This window comes from Homo sapiens, chromosome 6 (genome assembly GCF_000001405.40).
Source record: "Homo sapiens chromosome 6, GRCh38.p14 Primary Assembly".
NCBI classification, from domain to species: domain Eukaryota; kingdom Metazoa; phylum Chordata; class Mammalia; order Primates; family Hominidae; genus Homo; species Homo sapiens.
This window is the reverse complement of record NC_000006.12, coordinates 136,106,903-136,128,445: the sequence shown is the minus strand read 5'-3', so window position 1 is coordinate 136,128,445 and position 21,543 is coordinate 136,106,903. Positions and strand designations below refer to the sequence as shown.

The window sequence follows — 21,543 nt, the reverse complement described above, 5'->3', positions numbered from 1 at the left end:
TAACAAGTAGAAGAACAGGCATTCAAACAGTTCCCATGCTTCTCATTAACTGATATTGTTTCTTTGTCTCATGCATTAGAATTAATTTAAAAAATTAGATTCCATCTTGAGCTGAGGCAACTGTTTTGAGCTTTCCATCTTTGCAAATAAAGCCCTGTGGGCTATTGTTGATTGTCAGCTTTCTGTTAAGGGGAATGATGTCAAAGCATCACTCTGGTAAATTGAATAGGGCATACTTGATTTGCACACGGGTGCTAAGCTAGCTTTCCCAATGAGTGGAAATAAGTGTCTTTCTCAAAATGCCAGGCCCTAGCTCTTGGTAAAAAGCAAGACCTGCCCGACATTTTCAGTGTCCTAGAGAACACCCCTCTCAGTAATGACAAGTGGCAGTCTGCCCTCTTGATGACCTGATTGGGTTGACAGATTTCACACTGTTTAAGAATGAGGAGTGAGGAGTGTGCTATTTGGAGCCCATCCAGAATCATTCTTCAAAGTGTCAGAAAGATCACAGCAGAGCAAAAAGTTCAGAAGTTAAGCTAAGTTTAAGGTCTTTCATCCTGGAAAGTTTTCATTAATGTGTTTTTTTCTCTTTTGCGTTCACCCCAGTGAATGCTGCAGTTGCAAATTTCTCAGCATGACTTGGTCAAAACCCCCTCAACATTATGCCAAGAATCTGCTTTTAAAACTGTGCTGTTAAAATTTGCAGCCCTGAGAGGCTTAATTTTTAAAGTATCTGGTTTTCAGTAACCAGATTTCTAATTATATCGAATTTCAGACTTTTCAGGAGCCCCTAACTCTTGAGTGTTTTTCTTAAGAGCAACCAAACTTTCTGAAATTTATTTTAACAATATTTATTTTTACCAACTTTAAGCCAAAAGAGAAACTTTGTGGTTAATAACAAGCCATAAACAATAACACTTCTGTAATAATAGTAGAATATTACTGATAATAGCCTTAGAAGCCATCATCTCTTACGTTTAAGACACTTTGGAACCAAAAGCTATCACTGATAAATAAAAAGCCCAAAGGGACTTAATGACTACATGTCAGATAGTAATGGATAGCTTAAAATAAAAATAAATCCTTGAGTGCTATTGGGATTTATGAGTTCAATGTGGGAGGCATTACCTCCTAGGAGGCATTGGGGAAATGTTGGGGGGGCATTCTTGGCTGTCAAATGATAGAAATGGCCAGAACAGAATTTAATGGAAGGGAGCCAGGGATGTGGGATGTCGCAAAGTATATGGGGCTCTTCTACACAACAGAGGATTGTCCTGTATCACCTTCAATTTTTCAATGGCTGGTCAGGTATTCATATGGGTGAAAAGCCTGTTTATAATGATCTGAACCTAGAACCTAACCCCATTTCTCTGATAGGTAAGCTCAAAGTTTTGTTTTCTTTAAAATCATTAATTTTTGTGGGTACATAGTAGGTATGTATATATTCATGGAGATCACAAAGTATTCTTTTGTATAATTTTTAAAAAAATTTTTATTTCCATAGGTTATTGGGGAACAGGTGGTATTTGGTTACATGAGTAATTTCTTTAGTGGCGATTTGGGAGATTTTGGCACCCATCTCCTGAGCAGTATACATTGAACTCAATTTGTAATCTTTTATCCCTCAACCTCTTCCCATCCTTTCCCCGAGTCCCCAGAGTCCACTGTGGCATTCTTACGCCTTTGCATCCTCATAGCTTAGCTCTCACTTATGAGTGAGAACATACGATGTTTGGTTTTCCATTCCTGAGTAACTTCACTTAGAATAATTGCCTCCAATCCCATCCAGTTTGCTGCAAATGCCATTAATTCATTCCTTTTTATGGCTGAGTGGTATTCCATCATTTATATATACCACAGTTTCTTTATCCATTCATCAATTGATGGGCATTTGGGTTGGTTCCACATTTTTGCAGTTGCAAATGGTGCTACTATAAACATACACGTGCAAGTATCTTTTTCATATAATAACTTCTTTTCCTCTGGGTAGATACCCAGGAGTGGGATTGCTGGATCAAATGGTCATTCTACTTTTAGTTCTTTAAGGAATCTCCACACTGTTTTCCATAGTGGTTGTTCTCTTGTACAGTTTTAATACAAGTATTCCCTTTTCAGAAATGTAACTACTATGCAAACTAAGGAAAGAATGTTGTTTTTGGGGGGTTGTGGGTGAGAGGAGGGAGTGGTGGACATGACTTTCCCAGAAGTTGTTCGCCTTCTTAGGAAATTACCAGTGGCAAGACTGCTTATGATAGTTGACTGCATTTCCAACATAATACACCTGTATCGATCTGCACTGGACTGTCACATTCACAGGGATTCTGCATGTGGGTGCAATATAGACCATATCCGTAGGCCTTCAAGGGTGATTATGCCCAAGTATTTACTTATTGAAAACATTATTTGTCATAAGTTGCTTTTCTTGTATTTCTTGTGTATTAAAAGCTAGGGCCTTATTATGATTTTTTTTTAACTTATGAGAATAAGTAGGCTGTAGATTTCCTTTCAAGAGGGTAAAGGATCTATCAAGGTAGTAAAGATTATAAAATGTGCTATAAAAAGGAGGCATTGGGTCTGAGAGGGTTAGAAGTCTTTCTGCTGGGTAAAAACGCCCCGGGAAGGCTGTTGTGTAATGGGTTCCTGTCTGAAGCCTGGGAACACCTTTACAAGAAGAATGGAGTATTTGCTCTGAGTCTCACTGCTCCAAGTAGAAACTAAGGTCAGAGTTTCCTCAATTTCAGTCATGCTCTTGCCTTTAGTAGGGTTTTTACCATATCTGCCTATACCACTACTTACATAATATCTTTTTTAAAAAATCAAATAAATTCATTTTTACCTATATATATATATGTATTCTTTATTTATTTATTTTTTTTAGGGACAGGATCTTTGCCCTGTCTCCAGGTTGGAGTGCACTGGAGCAATTGTATCATAGCTCACTGTAGCCTTGACCTCCTGGATTTAAGTGATCTTCCCACCTCAGCCTCCTGAGTAGCTGGAACTACATGTGTGCACCACCATGCCTGACTAATTTTTTAATTTTTTTAAGAGATGTCTTTTCCCAGGCTGATCTCAAACTCCTGCCCTCAAGCGATCCTCCTGCCTTGGCCTCCCACAGTGCTAATTCACGAGTGTGAGTGACCATGCCCGGGCCCTTACTTACATATAACTTATATAAAATTAGTATCAATAAAAAACAGATTTGACGTGCTAATTACATTTTCTCTAGTACATGTTAAAATATACATGTAACGATTATAGTAAAAGATAAAAGGTTGTTTCTGTAACAAAAATATCGCCTGTGTTCCCATACCACGCTTTGGGAAATGGTGCTATAAAGGATTAAAGATTTGGAAAATATGACTTAAGGATAAAGGATGATCTAGTCACACCCTATAATTTTCTTTGTTTAGAAAAGACAAATTCTCCTTTTACTAAAATCCTCAATATTGTACTTTAAATATTTGTTTTATCACAAATACAAATAATTTGATATGTATGTAATATCACACCCATTCCACATATTGATAATCTTCACAAATATGCTGTTTGCTAAACTCTTCTTGGAAAAACTTCACACAATAGGGCAAACTCTCCAGCTGCTGTTGTCAGCATGTTATATATAATTTAACTTTAGTAAAAATAAAATACGCCATCCATAGCAACAAGTCATTTTGAATAAATGCCTTCAATATTTATTAATTCAACAAATATCTGTCAAGATCCTGCTATGTGAAAAAAAGCATTGTTCTGGGGACTAGGATATAGCAATGAACAAAATAAAGTCCTTTTCCTTGTGGAACTTATATTTTATTCACATAATATGAAAAGGGAGCTAATTTGATTTCCATTAGTCCTAAGAAGGAAATAGCTGAGGGCACAGCATTACTCTCCATATGGACTAGATGACTGAAACTTGGCCTCAGGGGATGTGGACACTTGATACTGTCATTTGACATTGTTTTATATAGCAAAGTGATTTTAATGTTCTTTCATTTGCATAGCTTTTCTAACAATATACTATTTTGTCGATGCTTTGCTTATATTTCTCAGTCCCATTTAAAATTGGGTTGCACAATTTTTTAAAAAATATTTTTCATCTTTTTAAAATTTTTATTGCTGTCATTTTTCTTCCCAGTGTATAAAATTGCACTCCACAATTTGGGCAGAATTTTAAAATTTTTAAATTCTTCCACCTAAGTTTTTATTTTTTATATATAATTTAAATTGCCCTGAATTCACCTTTGAGTCATACTTTTTCAATTTTCATGCCATTAATATTACTGATAAATGGTTACCAGGGCCTCTTAATTAGTATTTAAAGGAGTATAAGTATTCATTTTCTTAACCTTCTCTACTTAAGACACTTAAAAACTCATAACAAAGGGTGATTTAAGATGGTGAGAACTGTTCAATAGAAAGTTCAAAAATAAGAGACTCACTCTTGTCATAAGACTATGGTGACATGTCTTAATTTCTAGAGAGTGGGTGTTTCTTATACATCCAGCTATTAATGTTAGATAAAATTAATCTATTGTATTACTCTATTAGTCATTTCCAAACAGCTGAAATAAAAACCCACTGATTTATTTTCAAAATCTCAGGTGGTACCACTGGCCTTAATTGGTTCAGCAAATGGAAATTGCAACAATAAGAAAGCTAAACTCTTCACAAAGATTGTTTTGAAGTTCCAGTTAATAATTGCTGTTTAAATTAATTGACTCTGAAACATTCTAAGATTCTGAGAAGTCATGAGTCACTGGGGAAGAGTTAAGTTATGCCTCAAATAGCTTTTGTGTTAGGAGTTTTTGATTATGCTATAATTCTTTCAAAACAGGTTATCCTTGTTTGGCAATTCCCAGCGAAGAGACCATTTGACCAACTAGAACTTGCTTGTCCTTTAATATATTAGGCAGCACTTATCTTTGAAGACATTTCCTTCTGAGATGTTATAATCTATTTGCCTGTAAAAATGATTTTCTATGTGAACGTTGAGATAGTTTGGCAGTGATATGAAGAACACTGTTGACATTTTGGAGACCTAATATTTCCTCTAAAAGAATAATTATTGTTATAATCAAGAGGCATAATTGTGATAGAGAAAATAAGAGGTCTTTTACTTTATAGAGTTGGTATCTTCCAGCTCATCACAGCCTTGAACTCCTGGGCTCAAATGCTCCCACATCAGCCCCCCGAGTAGCTAGGACTACAGGCACGCGTCATCACACACCCAGCTAATTGTTTTATTTTTATTTTTTGTAGAGATAGAGTCTTGCTATGTTGCCCAGACTGGTTTTGAACTCCTGGCCTCAAGTGATCCTCTTGCTTCAGCCTCCCAAAGTGCGGGATTAGCCACCGCACCTAGATGGAGAAGAGGCCTTTCAAATGAAAGAACTTTGTTCACTTTCCACTGTAAGAGCTAAGCAATTAGAAGAGCGCCTGACACATAGGTGCTCAGTAAATACGAATGGAGTGAATAAATGAATGAATAAGAATATCCCAGCAGTCTTAGTGTGTCTGGAGGCTTGCCTGAAGAGCATCCATCTCAGCAGGGAGGGTGATGGGAGCTGCCTGCAGAGAGATACAGAGGATGATCTCTAGAGTCTTCCATGAAGCTTTGCAACCTGACTATGCTCCCATACAGCTACTGAACCTCTCTACTTCCTTAGTGCTTCTGTTGCCCCTTGTGTCACTTGAGGATAATAATTTACAGAATCTACACATTTTTGAGAGGAATAAATAATGTTATACATATAAAGTGCTTAGCACATAGAACACTTTCAATAGATACCAGCTAATTTTAGAATTCCAATATACAATTATAGATTGTACACCAATAATGGATTGAGATCCTGGGCTTTCCAGGCAACAATTTTGAAATATAATTGAATACTGAGATGAGTTTTTGAGGTTTTTATAAAGCATATTGTAAAAGCACTCTTGATCTTAGGCATAGAAGGTTGGGTTAGGGGATTGAAGAGGGAATGTGTTTTCACTGTATACCCAGGAAAAACTGACTCTTTCTTTGTAACTTAGTTTTAATATTAAGCAGGAGCAACCACTTGCTATATAAGATATGAGGGAAAGAAAATGCGTTTGTCTATACTCACAAGCCCTAAGTGAAATCTCCATTTAAAAAAGATTAAATTATAGCTGGGCGTGGTGGCTCACGCCTGTAATCCCAGCACTTTGGGAGGCCGAGACAGGCGGATCATGGGGTCAGGAGATCCAGACCATCCTGGCTAACACGGTGAAACCCCATCTCTACTAAAAATACAAAAAATTAGCCGGGCGTGGTGGTGGGCGCCTGGAGTCCCAGCTACTCAGGAGGCTGAGGCAGGAGAGTGGCGTGAACCCGGGAGGCGGAGCTTGCAGTGAGCCAAGATCACACCACTGCGCTCCAGCCTGGGTGACACAGCAAGACTCCGTCTCAAAAAAAAAAAAGATTATAAATTGGCATTCAAGACCATCACTGGTCTGGTTCTAACCAACCCTTAACATTTAGTAAGGGTTTCAGCCTAATTTTACATCAATTCTGATTACCGTCCCTCCAACTATGCAATACCCTTTCAGCACTACACATTCACCGCAGAATCTGAGGTGCTCACCCTTTAAACGTATTCAGCATTTTCCCATACCTGGTCTTTTTTTGAATGCACTTTAAAAAAACTTCTACTTACAAAAATCCAGTCATTGTCCAAATGCCAATGCCAACCTTTCCACAAGGTCCTTCACTAGAATGTCCAGTGCTTTCTCCATTAGAACCTCGTGACACTTGCCAATTTAGCTGGTGTTCTAGTGAGTTCTGTATCAGCCCTTTCCCAAAATGTTTTGTTCATCCTTTATTTCTTTTAGCACTTATGGCCTGGTACACAGTAGTTGCTCAATAAATGTGAATAGTGTAATCTAGTTTACCCTTTCTCCTTTTTTTAAAAAGGGATGATCTTAGGTCTTCCAAGGAGGACTTTCTAAAAATACATTTTTAGCTTTCTGGTCTTTTCCAAGAATTCTCTCCAAAACAGAAAATAAAGCTAATGTGGTAGAACATGAAATGAAAGAATGGGAAAAGAAGATGGGAGATGGGGAATTCTTTTCCTTACACATAAAGAATTGTCGAAAAATGGTAGGTAGGAGAGGGAAGGGGATACTGGGCTTCTACTTGCCTAATTTCTTGGCATCTCTTGGGAGAAAAGATTAGCATTATAGGATCCAGAATCACAGGAAAGCAAGGAGGGGACATCTCCCAACCCCTGCCTAGAAGTGAACTAGCTGCAGTCACAGCTGGCTTCAGGTGATGAGTGACCAGTAGTGGATGATCATGTGGATGGGGTGGGTGTGCCAGGGCCCAGACACCGAGGGACAGGGAAAACTTGTTTCCACTGCTAGACCTTCCTTATAGATGATATTACCCACAGAGCACAAATGAGTTCAGGAAGGAGAGGGGAGTCAGACACAAGGTTATAATTTTTCTTGTTTTTCAGTGTGCATTGCTAAGGGAGATGTGGACATGTAGGGGAGGGTGGGAATAGTGGTAGGCTTGTCTATACTAGCCCAAACTGAGGAGGGGAAAGCTGAAAACAATGGTAAAGACTTAGATGACCAAGGCTGAGCCAGGCGACCACACTGCTGATGGAATTTCCCTGTGATGCTTTTGATGACATTGACTGCTGGTGGCCAGGTGGAGCACAGAACTATCTCTCTGGGCTATACTGACATATAGTGCCACAAAAGCAAGACCACCAAGCTCTGGTGGCCCCTCGGGCTGCCCCATCTCTACTGTTCTCTACCTGGCTTGCTACTTCATGGAGAAACGAGAAGTTGTTAGATGGGAAATTCCTTACTTTTCTGCTATGAAACCTACCAAACCCCCTGCGTTGCATCCCTTCTTTCCTTCTTCCCACCTGCTGTTAGGAGAGTTGCCTCCTTTTCTCAGGCCAGTCATCCCCTCCCATCTTCTCAGGACACTTTATTCTCAGTTATGATTTTTCTGGTCTATTCCATGGTTCTTTCTCAACTAGATCCTTCTCACCATGATTTCAGCTTGCTTCAATGTCTTGTGAAAAACAAAACAAAACAACCTTCCCTAGCCTCACTTTTCCAGCCATCAGTCTCTCTACCAATTTATTAACAACCACATGTTGGAAAGCAATGCTGCAGGCATTGTAGGGGGAGCTCAGTAAATACCTGTCAGAAAAAAGATAAAACTATAGAATGGAAAACTGAAAAGGGTTAATAGGCCATTCTCTACTTCACTATAAGTCAAGTACTTTATATTGTTATGTGTCCTATGCCCTTCTTAAATGGGAATACTAATATCTGTAATAATAAAATAATTGATACCATGGCAGGTATTACACTAGCACTCTAAGCACGCTTACTCACTACTTCCCACAATAACCCATGAGATGTGCACTTGTGAATCGTCTTTTCTAGCCCGGAGGAATCAGAGGACCAGGGGTCAGTAGATCAAAGTCCTGTAGCAACTGCTACTGGAATCTAAACCCAGGCAGCCGGCTCTGGAGCCAACACCAACCACCTTCAAGGGGAATCCTGGTGTTTTATTTTCTCTTTTTGCAAGTGGTAAAAGTTATTTTATATCTTGAAGGTAAGGCTTATATAAGGAAGCCTTATATGGTTGAGTGGAAAGACAGAATGTAAGAAGAGCCCAACCCTGGTTAACTCTTTCATAGCTTTGCTTGAATCACTTGGCCTGTTTTTTGTTTTTGTTTGCTTATAAAATGAAAAACTGGGCTCAATGATTTTTTGAGTGTCTTCATTTAAAAGCTTTGCAAAGTCTAAAGTGCTGTTCAAATGTGAATAAGAACTTTGATTTTGTGCTCTTTGGAATAAATTTCACTTTAAAATGACAAGCAAAGTAGCTTACATAGCTTTTGAGAAACACCCAACTTCACAATTTCCAACCAATTTTCCAATTTAGGCCTGTTAAATAATGTTTTCTGGCCTATGGCTGCAATTTCATTTTCTGCATCTTGATATTCCTTTGGAAGAAAAATAAAGGTTCTTTTTCTGGCGGACATTGAAATTTTTAAAAATAAAATCTCATTTTTTTCTGATTATAAAAGGAATACATGCTTCCAGTAGGAAAAAAATAGAAAACCAGAAGAACAATAATCATCTAGAAAGAACCCTTGTTCGGATTTTGGCATATTTTAATAAACATAACTGAGATCTTCTTTTTGGATATAGACTTTTCTATTCTGCTTTTTATCTAATATGTTATAAACATTTTGAGAAATTGTTTCTTTCAGCGATTCATGGTTTGCACGACAGGAAATAACCAACTCCCCCTTGAGAAAAATTAAAGCAACTGGTGGCAGCTACAAATCTGACTTTAATTTGTCACAATAGCGATTCCATTTCCTTCTTCTTTGGGGGCAGCTTACAAGTATCCTCAGTTGTCACCACCACGCCCTTTTCTTTCTTATCAAAGAACACAAGGTCAGGCGATGAAATGTGCAGTCTGTCATTTGGCGTCTTCCACCAGAGTGGCAGGAATATTAGAAAATACAGTAGAAATATTGCAAAATCTGATTTTTTAGATGTTTAATCTCATATTTTCTCATTCAGTTATAGGAATATTTGTTCAATGATACTGAAGTCATTTAATACCAAAAGGAAATAATCTAAATGTACTATAAAAAGAAAATTTTCATAATTTATAAAAAATATTTAAAAGGAATAATTGGCATATATATGTTCATTGTAAAAGGAGTATACTGCATCATATATTGCCTTTGAATATTAAAATTCATATATAAAAAGGATTATACTTTACTATGGTTAAAAGCTTGTGCTCTGCGATTATATATTTGGGGTTTAAATTCTGGCTTACAAGCTGGGTGACCTTGGTTGAGTTATTTCTCCTCTTTCAGTCTCAGTTTCCTCATCTGTAATAGTAGTGGCTACTTTATAGGGTGTTTATGGGGATTAAATGAGTCTAACTGTGCAAAGCATAGATATAATTTGTATGCCATAATTGACATATATAGTGGTTCCCAAATATTCCTGGAAGGCCCAGAGCCAGGCTTGTTGCTTCAGGTTGCCTGAGGCTGTTTTGAAAATATCCTGGGCTCTACCTCCAGAAATTCAGGTTCAATGACTTCGCAGTTACAATGTGATAATGCTTTCTGGGAGATGTAGTGGGAGTGCAGAGAGAATGATGAGTTCACTCCTTTGGGAGGATTGAAGAAGGCTTCACAAAGGACATAATGATGGGGCCAGGGCTTGAAGGGTGAACAGATGCTTCCTAGGAGAAGAGGTGGCTGGAGAGGGATGTACTCAGCAGAGAGAGAAGGGACATCCAAAACTCAACTGTATTTATTATGGACCTATTATAAGCAAGGCAGGCTTCTGGACACATTTATCTCATTTACTCCTCACCACAACCCAATCAAATTAAAATCTTGCATGTATGTGAACATTAAGTAGTTTGGGCATCTTTTTCAAGCTCACAGTATAAGTAGGATTCAAACCCAGGTCTAACTTCAAAGCTCATGGTCTTTCTGTGGGCTCCTCTATTGATGATGACTTAGTGAGCTTGGAGCTCTGGGTGGGGCAACCATGGTAGAAGAGGCAGAGAGGCAGCCGTGGTTTGGTTGTGAAGGGACTCATTTTTATTTTTAGTATTCACAGCAATCCTCCTGTGCTTCCAGGCTTCCAAGAGACCTATAGCCTGGGGACCTTGCCTAAGAGGGGTGCACACCTGGCCTTGTACATCCTGTGCCTGGGGTTAAGCACCTCTCAGACTAGAGCTGTTATGGTGGCTGTTGTTAGATATAGTGGCATTGGCCACCTTCTTCTTGGGACTTTCCTCCATAACTTCTGCCCTTCTTCCCCAGCTTACTTAAAAGTAATAAAGGACCCAGATGCCCCAAGGCAATTTGGTCTGCTAGTTAGAAAGAAAAAAAGGTCTTTTTGATCTTGTGTGTGAACCCTGAGATCTCAGTTTGAAAACATACAAAAGATATTAAGGATGGGGCCATGTTCTGGTTTTTCATACATACAGTAGAATGGGGACCACAGTGAATCCCTTAGATATTCTGAAACGTTGAAGGTGGGATGGCAATGAAAAAAATAGCCCTGCATTTGGTTTATTAATGAGGTCACAGAGATAGGCTCTGCCTGTTTCTGGGTAGGAGGTTGAATTTAATTTTATTGAACAAACAAGTCATTTTAGCTCAGTGACTCATAGGTAACTTCAGTAAAAAAAACTTAATTTACTTCTGCTTCCCTCTATATTTTAATGTCTCCAGAAATCCAAAGAAGCCACTATGCTGAAAATACTTTGAGTGGGTTAGAGTTTCGCTCAAGGAAGTGCTGTAGTAGAAAATGGCCATTTCTCTGTGCTGTGTTCAGGTGAGTTAGCAAATCCGCTGGGATCTGACACAAGTCACTTTTGTACTCAATAGAATCCATCATGAGGGAGTGAGGTGGTGCCTGAACTCTTATGTCTAAATAGTTTCTCACAGAGAAAAATTTAGAGTTTCTCACTAAAGGAAACTAATTTCTTTGTGGGATTTCTCATGGACAGTCTTGTAATGCTTTTCAAAATCAAGCTTATTATAAACTAAAAATACAGGGGCCCCTGAACAAAAGTAGTTGGTTGACTTCATGACGCCTGTTCTGGCCAGATGGCTCATGAATGATTATGATTCCCAAGTGGAATTCCCAAAATAGACCTCTCCTCTGCACTTTAGTCCATTATTTCTAGCTTTCTTCCGGACATTTCCACTCGATTCTCCTGCAAACTCAACCTGTCCCAGTGGAGCTTACCATCTTTCCCCTAACTCATCCTCTAACTTTTCTGACTGTTGATCTCAGCTCCAATTTTTCAGATGGCCAGACCAACTCTGGCTCTCCCAATATTCAGTATCCTCCAGTTTTATGTCTTCTTTTATATGAAATCTGTGGATTTACACTATCATCTCTACAGCCATCACAGTCTGCAGCCTGATTACATTTCTTTGGATTCATTGAAACTGTGTCTCCTACATATGGATGTTAGTTAATTTTCTCAAACAGTGTTTTATACGGTTCACCTTTTTTGCAAAATTCTCTAGAGATCCTCTTCTTAATGAGACAAGTTTGAATTCTTTATCTTGGCATTCCAAGCCTTTCTCTCTAGTTAATGAACTTTATTTGCTACTTTTTGGACCTTCTTCCTACTTAATGACGTTATGTCCTCATATGTAGGTCAGTCTCCCTTATAGGCAACTCCTTAATCAGTCAACACTGTCTTATCTTTCAGTGTTTAGCACAAGACCATAAAGCCTTCTTCTGCTCAGGTTACTTCAGTAATCTCTGCCTTCTCTTGTCTCTGATTATTGTTACTTATTTTAGAATTAGATCATTTACTTTGTTGTATGGTACTTGGTGTAATGTTTATTTTCCTTGTCTATGTAATGAGATTGTTTGCTCTTTGAGGGTAGCAGAATATCTCATAGTTTCCTTTCTAGCCCTCAGAATTTTCTGCCCAGATATAGCATATAGCAGGTTTCTCCCCCATCTCCCCGGTCCTTGTTGACTTAAAAGGAATTGTTCAGATATTTTTGTTTGGTGTCTCTGGTAGACCCCAGTCCCACTGCTGTCTGAGACAGAAGGTAGCCATCATACAAAAGGCTATCTCAGTCCTGTGGCGGTTGGTGTGGCTCAGAGCACCTGGGTTTCATGGCCTTCTTGGCATAGAGTAGGTGCTGTTTGTTGACTGAATAAATGAATGAAAACCCAGAGGAAGTACTGGACTCCCTAACTCAATTTTCTATTTTTCATCCTTCAGATAAAAAGTAATCCATTAAATGATGTCAGACAGGTTAACAGAAGGCAATGGCTGTTTTCACTTTTAGATGTAGAAGGTGAAAATGGTTTCTTTTTGAATATGTTTTTTCTCAGACATATGTTGTATAATTTTTCCTGACTTCTCTGCTTGGATCCCACTAGAATACTTTGTCTTTCAATAACACTTTTATCTAGTTGAGCAAACTTGTTGACAATGTTTTCCTGGTTTCTTAAGTCTTAAAGCGTATTTTATAATGGCCCTAATAGTTGACCTTAGCATACAGCCCTCTTTTATTTCACTGTTGCTTCCATAATCTGCTTGTGTTTTAACTTCTCCCAGGAAGACTTCCTTAATTTCCAAGACAGAGTTAATTATTCCCTTCTCGAACTCCTCTGAATCCCGTAGATGCATATATTTCTCATATTATGTATGCTGTTATTATACAGGCATGTATTATTTGGTGTATCACACCACATCAAAATGTATTTGTAAATAAATTGTAGATACAGTAGCTTATGCTACTGTAAATCCCTCAAGGGCAGTGGCCATGTCTCATTCATCTTTGTATCTCCAGCACTGGTACAATGCCTACCATAGGAGGTGCTCCGTCGAGGGGTAGTAATAGGGAGAGTCGGGACATCGCCAACTCTGTCTTCTGCAAGCTAGTGGGCATTTCAGTGGTTAACCATCCTGCTGCCCTGGCACTTCCGCAGCTGAAGTGCTGGGAGCTTGCAGCCAGAAGCCCTGAGTGCACCATCATGGAGCAAGATCCAGCTGAGCCAGAAAGCACCACTACCACAGCCAGTGCCTTGCCTTTCTTCTAGAGGAAGGTAAATATTGAACTTTGAAATTGTAGGGTGTTACCTTGGCACTCACAAGTGTGAGGAGAAGTCTGAACAAGTCCCAGCGGACACCTCCCTTCTCCGCTTGGGGAACACAGGGCTGGGGGTGGGATAGCATCTTCTCAGCATGACTGAATTCAAATCATCCAATGACATTTTAGTTCAGATTCTTTGCATTTTGTGTAGTTCTTATAGGTGACAGGAAAAGGTATCTGTAAGGTTACTAAAAGGCTGTAACTGTCTGCCAAGAATTCTCTCATAGGAAATGGAGTCTGGAAGGAAACTGTCCCTCCATCTTTAAGATGGGGCTATCACTTAGGGCCAGATGATTTCCAGCATACTGAGTGGCTTTTGTTCAACAGTCCTTCATCGAGAGTGTGTTTTATATGTCAAAGAGAGTGTGTTTTATATGTCAAAGAAAGAATGGCTGCAGGGTATAATATGTTTTAGATGGCAGCTTTAAAAAAATATTTGAGTCTCTGGGTCACTTCTTCATAGAAAGGTTAAAAAATATATATGTTTGTATATATTGGTTCCATTTGGGAAATAATAAGTAAAGGGAAATATTTTTGTAGCTCTACTAAAATGACCTCATGCTTGTGCAGTTAAGATGACCCTGACAGGAGAGTCAAGTCTGAAGGAATAGAGCTTTAAAGATCAAGATTAGCAAATTAACAGTCAGGAAAAGCCAAATAGCCAATTAACCTACTACTGCAAAGCCCAGGGGCTGGTCTGGAGCTCTGGGTTCTCTGTAGCAGTGGATACTTGGTGCCCTAAAACCTCAGGCTGAAGCTGTTTCTTTTCCTCAAGCTCCACAGTCCCTGAGCACGTTTTCTTTGTATGTCACTTCCTCTGCTGAGCCGGTGTGGAAATCACTTTGTGTTGCTCTGAGATGGTTGCCACGGGAACATCTCAACCTAGTCATTATCTACTCAGGCTGCTGATTATATTAAATCAGGAGACAGAGCTGTAGACGGGGCTGCTGGAGCCGCCTGCTCTGCAGAAGGTTGTAATTGCTTCTGCAACTCTCCCCTCTGGGTCCACAAGTCTCAGAACACTCTTCTCTACATTTTTTCCTCCTTTGTTTCCCCCCTACAAACAGAATTAGTAAATGAAATAAATCTATAGGAAATCGACATTGGGAGAATACAGCCGTTACTTTTCCGTCCCTCCAGTTCTCTGTGTTAGGACATCATCTGGAATAAAAACAATTTTCCCCCTTTTCTCTCTGTTCTGGCTCTCTATGCTTAGGTGTAAAGATAACAGTCTTTAAAGATCTATCTTTCCTATGTCCCACACAAACAGTGCTGAGGCCACAGTTTCCTGCTATTTATCCAGAGAAGCTTCAAGAAGTTCATAGAGATGACTCTCTTCTAAATTGTGTAAAATAGAAACAGGGAACGAAATTAGCTTTTAATGAGTGTTATGTATTTCTATTGATCTAGATGAATCTCTTATGAAAATGATTTTCTAATCTTTATTCCTGGAATGCATATGATATGGTATTATTATTTTTAACAAAATTGTACATATTTATGGTATACAACATATTTCAAGATCTATATGTATATATACACACACACATTGTGGAATGGCTAAGTAAAGCTAAATAACTTATGCATTACCTCACGTACTTATTTTTTGTGATGAGATCATTTAAAACCTACTCTGTTAGCAATTTTCAAATATACGTTTGTTATTAACTATAGTCACAATATTATACAATAGATCTTTTAAGCTTATTCCTGCATGTGATCTTTGAGAAACATTAAATTTAAATACTCTTTTTTGGGAAAACCTATATAAGCAGTTGGCCTTGTAATTTAGTGTCCAAATCAGGACACTCTGGGAATGAAAAATGGCACTATTAATAAATACTCCTGAACAACAGGTGCAAACTAGGACTATGCCAGGCAAACCAAGAGTCACCTTATATGCAGAAAACAGGTACATGAAATTGGTAGTACTGTGTTTCCCTCTGCCCCAAACATGTGCTTCCCCTCCCCGCAAAAATAATCTCTTCCAGAAGAATGTGCAAGTAGAAATTATAATTTTAAATTGGAATTTAAAATCTGCATCAATAACAGAGGTTCCCTCTCTGTTTATTCTTCTGTTCATAAAAATTTAGTCAATGTGAGTCCATTCTTGAAAGTAAAGTGATGGCAGTGGAAACTGAACAGAAAAAAAAAAAGACATTAACAAAGATAAACACACTGGACTGAATGTGCTTGTGGCTTTGTCAAAAAGCTCTCTTAAATCTGTTTAAAAAAATCTAAGTTAAGGATTGGCAACCTTGTTCTGTAAAGGGCCATAGGGTGAGTATTTTGGGGTTTGTGGGGGGCGGTTTGTAGACCACACGGTTTCTGTGCAACTACTTTGCCACTGTTTCAGTGACAGCAGTCATAGATGTCATATAAACAAATGGGCATAGCAATATCCCAGTAAAATTTTATTTACCAAAACAGGCAGGAGGAGGGGACAGATTTGGTGTGTGGACAGTCATTTGTCCACTTCTGTTCTAGTTATCCATTTTAACGCCTAGAAACTTTGTTCTGGTTGAAGACAAGTAATTTTAGATTTTAATTCTGATGTCCTCTGCCCTCCTGTGACAAACTGGGGCTGTGACTAATGGGACCAATGGGGAAATGCATGGGCCTCACTATTTAGTATACATTTCTGCTCTTGCGTGCTCCAGTGATTCAATGCATATACTGAGGTGGGTGGGGGAGGGACACCCACCCAGCGACACTTTGGAAAGGGGATGGCAGTTGTGTGGGTTTCACTAACATTTTGGAAGGAAGGCTGCAGGGATGCAGAGCTGGGGAGTGACAGCTATGGTGATTTGGTTTTTCCTATAAATGGTTTAAAAAAATCCTAGATTAGATTTTACTGTGGGAGAGAGAACAAAACTGCAAGCACCCAAGGAAAATGAAGTTTGGGGTCTGTGCCCACACTGGGAAAAACTTGACTCAAAATTAAGGTAAGTGATCTAAAGAATCACTTTAAACTAGTTCAGCTCTTACAGTGTAGAATAAGAATGAGCTGGTAAAAAGAAAAGTTCTACGAGAAAATCCCCAAATGTCCCAAGATGTTTCCCTTTAGGCATAAAGCACACACTAACAACTCAGGCAAACCACAACAAGGACGTGAATGATATTAAAGAGAATTAAATAGACAGTATATGAAGTAGTAGGAGATATGCCATATATACCTTATGTGACTGTGCATAACACAGATGTTCATACATCTCTGCTCCATGGTGACAAGCTGTTGTAATTGCAAACTAAGTTAGGAACCGTGGAGGGCGACCACAGTAATGTTATCTGTTCTAGTTTCAACTCACCAATGGGGTCTTTGGTGCATTATACCAAGAGGTAAATCGTATCACAAAGGAAAATCTTAGAGGCCTTCATTCCTACCCGTGTTGTTCAGTTAAACACAGGGGATGATTTACATTCATAGTTATTTAATATAATGTTTTCGAGGAGACCCTTTAATAATTGGTCAGTTAACTATAGTTAGTAAATGATCAATAGCAATTGATTGTCTTTAGGATCTGATAGTCTATTTAGGGATAAAGAGAAGACTGTCTTTAGGATCTTATAGTCTTTTTGGGGTGTCTTTGATACATTAAAAAAACTGGAGACCACCTATAAAGGAAAATATGCTAAAGGAAAATTAATATTGCATCTGCAATATGTTACAGAGTAAGAGACATGGGTGAAAGAGTTATCCGGAATGGAATGCTGAGGAGACCCTAAAGGGAATTTCCGGGTGGATGGCCAGCACTGTCACTCGATGAGTGGAGGATTGTGAGTACCAGGTGGGGTGAAATGGGGGTAGAGGGGCAGGCAGCATCCAGGGCCAGGGAAATGAGGCTGGGGTTGAGCCCAGGTGCTCAGAAGTCCTGGAGGATCTCCAGCAAAGGGAAGACAGGATAGCAGCTGCTGGCAGATGATCTCTTACGTGGTGAACAATATGACACTGAATTATTATCTGCAATGAGTTTCTCTTTAAATGTTATTTATTTTTGCAGTTGTTTTTCAGATTACAAAAGTAAAAGAGGCAAATTGTAAAAAAAAAAAAAAAAAAAAATGTTGCAGAATCCTATGATGTAGATAATTAAATATTCCACTGTCCCACCTGCAAACATAACCACCATTAGCAGTAAAGTTGCTTATTAACACTGGGATTAAGGTTTTAAAATAATGAAACTTTGGAATTATAAACAGAAATATCCCCTTATTTTCCTAATTCCTTTGTGGTTCATATTAGAAACCATGAACTAACACTCATCTACTATTGAAAAGAGGCCTTTCGGTTGTTTTCTCCCTCCGACTTTCAAAATGGGATGCCGTTGGAGCGTTCTGGTCTATATGAAACAGTGAAATGGAACCCCTTGCTCATCCTTGTCCTGCTTGGAGAAACCACATGCCTAGGACCTGGAAATCCACTCAGTCTAGAGACTGTCAAAGGTGTAACTTCCGTGGGTAGCTGGAACAGCCCATTCAGGGTATAAGGAAAGGTCAGAGAGACCAATAGAGCTCCCGCAGGCTGTATCCCATATTGCATTGGTCTAATGGCTCAATTCGGTCTTCCAAAAAGCATTTTTGAGGGTCTGGGTAGGGAAGGTTATCTCTAGTGTGGAAAGAATTACTCCAAGTCTCTGTGTCCCTGAAAGTGCTAAAAAAAACAGACATTGCACATTGATATGGGAGATTAACAAGCCAGGAGAAATACAAACATGCCACCTACTATTGGCCTCTCAAGGATCGAAGGATCAGAAATAACAGGTTCTAATTTCTCCTAGTAATTTCCAGGGGTTGAAGTAAATCAAATTGCCTCTTTAGCTGAGCTTATTTATGTCAAAGGAAAGTAATATTCTTTGGGTATAATCTAGCACTTTGAAATTTATAGATGGGAAGTGATATGAGAACCAAACACTGAAAACCTTGGAGCAAATTGTGAAATTTATCCACTTGCTCTTCCACCTCCCCCACAAGTCTACAGTGAAGGATGATTATGATCGTTATAAGGCATGAAATCTGGAGGGATGACTGGTCACTGGTTTGGGTTTGCAAAGAAACCTAAGATTAAGAAAATTGTGGACCAAAGGTTGAGCAAAACTACTGATGAGGAGCAGTTTAGGGAGGGGAAGGTAGAAGTCAATGAACTTGTAAGATTCAAGGGAGAAAGCAGCAAGTGCTTTGGATTTTGCCCTGGTGAAGAGTTTTACCAGGAAGGCAAGAATAGACCTCAAGGATTTATATTAGACAAAGAAGTGAGAATTCCATAACAGGTAGGTTACTAAGGGCAACTGTAGAAGAGGTTTCCCTGTGGGGTTTTAAAAACAAAATGGAATCTCACCTAGTCTAGCTCTGGCTGAAGGTAGAGAGAATGTGCTGGAAAATGAAAATAGTAGCTTCCCTGTATAGGGCATCACAGTTTTTGAGACTTACACTTTTTATACAAAAAATTTTATTCTTTTTGAGACATGCTGGAAGGCAGTGGTGCAATCCTGGCTCACTGCAGCCTTGACCTCCTGGGATCAAGCTATTCTCTCACCTCAGCCCCCAATTAAGTAGCTGGGACTACAGGCTGTGCCACCATACCCAGCTAATTTTTTGATTTTTTGTAGAGATAAGGTCTCACTCTGTTGCCCAACTCCTGGGCTGAAGCAATCCTCCCACCTTGGCCTCCCGAAGTGCTGGGATTACAGGCGTGAGCCACCATGCCTGGCCAGAGATTTATACTTTTAAAGCTGACCTGATCTCATTTGACCCTCAGTGGAGCTCTGAGAGGCAGTGCAGGGCCAGAATTACTTCACTTGTGAGGAAACTCAAAGACAAAGGGTTAAGTTCTAGTTGGCAGAAGAGAGATTCAGGAAGGAAGGCAGACCCCAGAAGGTTTCGAAGTTCAGAGGGAAATGAGGATTTTTTTTTTTCTTTTTGAAGAAAACGTTTGTTCCTTTCCAGGTACACTTGATTACTCACTGTTAAGTAGGCGGAAGTCAATGAATGGGTAGGAGCCACGGCGTTCAGCACGAACCCCCGTCTGACCCCTTAGTCGTATATCTCCTAGAAAACAGAAAATCCAAACAAAGGCTTGAAAACATTGCCACGTGCATTCACTTTTCCCCTGTAAATCCTCAATGAAACCAACCCCAGATGTCAGGAGAAAAATGGTTCCCATTCACCATACTGAAGAGTGCTATGTGGAAAGGAATATTTAATACTGAGTGTAATGAGGTTGGCAATACACTAACAAGGAACACAGGTCTCTTGTATGTGCTTAGAAGATGGGTCTGTGAAAATCACAGCAACTTACAAATTTCCATAAAAAGACAAAAGTCTTTTTATGCTTCCCAGGGCCACAGAGACAAAGACTCTGAATCCAGAAAGACAAATGGGTGTTGCATTGTAGCTTTCGTTCTTAAAAGTGTTAATCACCCAGACTATAATTTTTCTTTGTTCCAACACAATTGTTTTCTGACTGGCATCCACCTTTCTTTTTTCCAGATTGTATCATTAATGTGCTTTAGAATCGGCTCACAGGCTAGCCTTGCTCCAGGCACTTGGCCACTCTTGCACACAGGACAGTCTGTCGAGTTTCTAGTACTTATTTATTTGTAGGTTCCCTTTATATGTATATATATATTTCTTTCTTTTTTTTTTTTTTTTTTGACATGGAGTCTCGCTTTGTTGCCAGGTTGGAGTGCAGTGGCACGATCTTGGCTCACTGCAACCTCTGACTCCCGAGTTCAAGCGATTCTCCTGCCTTAGCCTCCCGAGTAGCTGGGACTACAGGCACACGCCACTATGCCTAGCTAATTTTTGTATTTTTAGTAGAGACAGGGTATCACCATGTTGGCCAGGATGGTCTTGATCTTTTGACCTTGTGATCCACCCACCTCGGCCTCCCAAAGTTCTGGGATTACAGGCATGAGCCACCACGCCTGGCTGGTTTCCTTTAATATTTAATATCTGTGTTCGTTTTCCTTTTTAGTATGTGTCCTGCCTTTCTCATCAGGGGAGGTAATGGAGTAGAGTGGAAAGAGCATGGACTTTAGAACACGGTAGGCCTTGGAGAAATCTGGCCCAGACGCTTGCTACTTGTGTGATCTTGGCAGATTTATTTCTCTGAGCCTCAGACGCCTCATTTATAAAATAAAGTTAAGACCCACTTCGAAGTGTCCTTGTCAGAGAAGCTAAAATAATACTCACTGCCTGGCAATAAATGCTGGTTTGCTTCCTTCTAAACTCCTGCAAAGCAGGGATCATGCATATCATGTTATTTACATTTCTCCATAATAGCACTTTGAATGCTGTCTGGTACTTAGTGGATTCTAAGTGAATGTTCTCTGTTGACAAGAGTAGAAATAAAGACCAAATTCACCAGTTATTATATATAATATGGAATCAGAGGAGAGGTAGAAATATGTGAGACATAATGTATCTCTGGAAGAACTGAATCAGGGAAGGTTTCAATTCCAGTAGTAATGGGTACACTCCCATAAATCACCTTTTTCCCGAAGTAAGGTGGCACTGGGGCCCCAGCCTGGGAGCTGAAAGGAAGAACAGTCCTCTCTCCTTCCTTTCCTAATTCCTGGAGGAACTCAGGGCCTGGGTGAGATCCCCATCAGCTGCAACTCATGCAACTGATATGCTTAAAATGTCCCTCATAGATGGGCCTTGAGTGTACTTGGGGTTGTAAAGTGCAAGCCATGAGCTCTTGGGCTGTTCTCTGCTTTGAATTTTACATTGGTGCCTTCTTCAATGCTTTGTATAATGTGATATTACATTGCCATATTGATATGAAAGAATATTGTAATTTATGGATAAATGTTATAAACCAAAGTGAGAGGAAGAGGAATAGATGGAAAAGTACTTTTATAGGTCTGAATAT

General features: G+C 39.3%; 1 protein-coding gene across 1 annotated transcript in view; it reads right to left on the bottom strand.

Annotated features, from left to right (window-relative positions):
• PDE7B (phosphodiesterase 7B) overlaps positions 1 to 21,543 on the bottom strand; it is a 343,874-nt gene that overhangs the window by 67,129 nt on the left and 255,202 nt on the right. Inside the window, exon 3 of the mRNA NM_018945.4 lies at positions 19,632 to 19,715. Within this exon, the coding sequence (NP_061818.1) occupies positions 19,632 to 19,715 (84 nt within the window). The remainder of the gene's footprint in view (positions 1 to 19,631; positions 19,716 to 21,543) is intronic.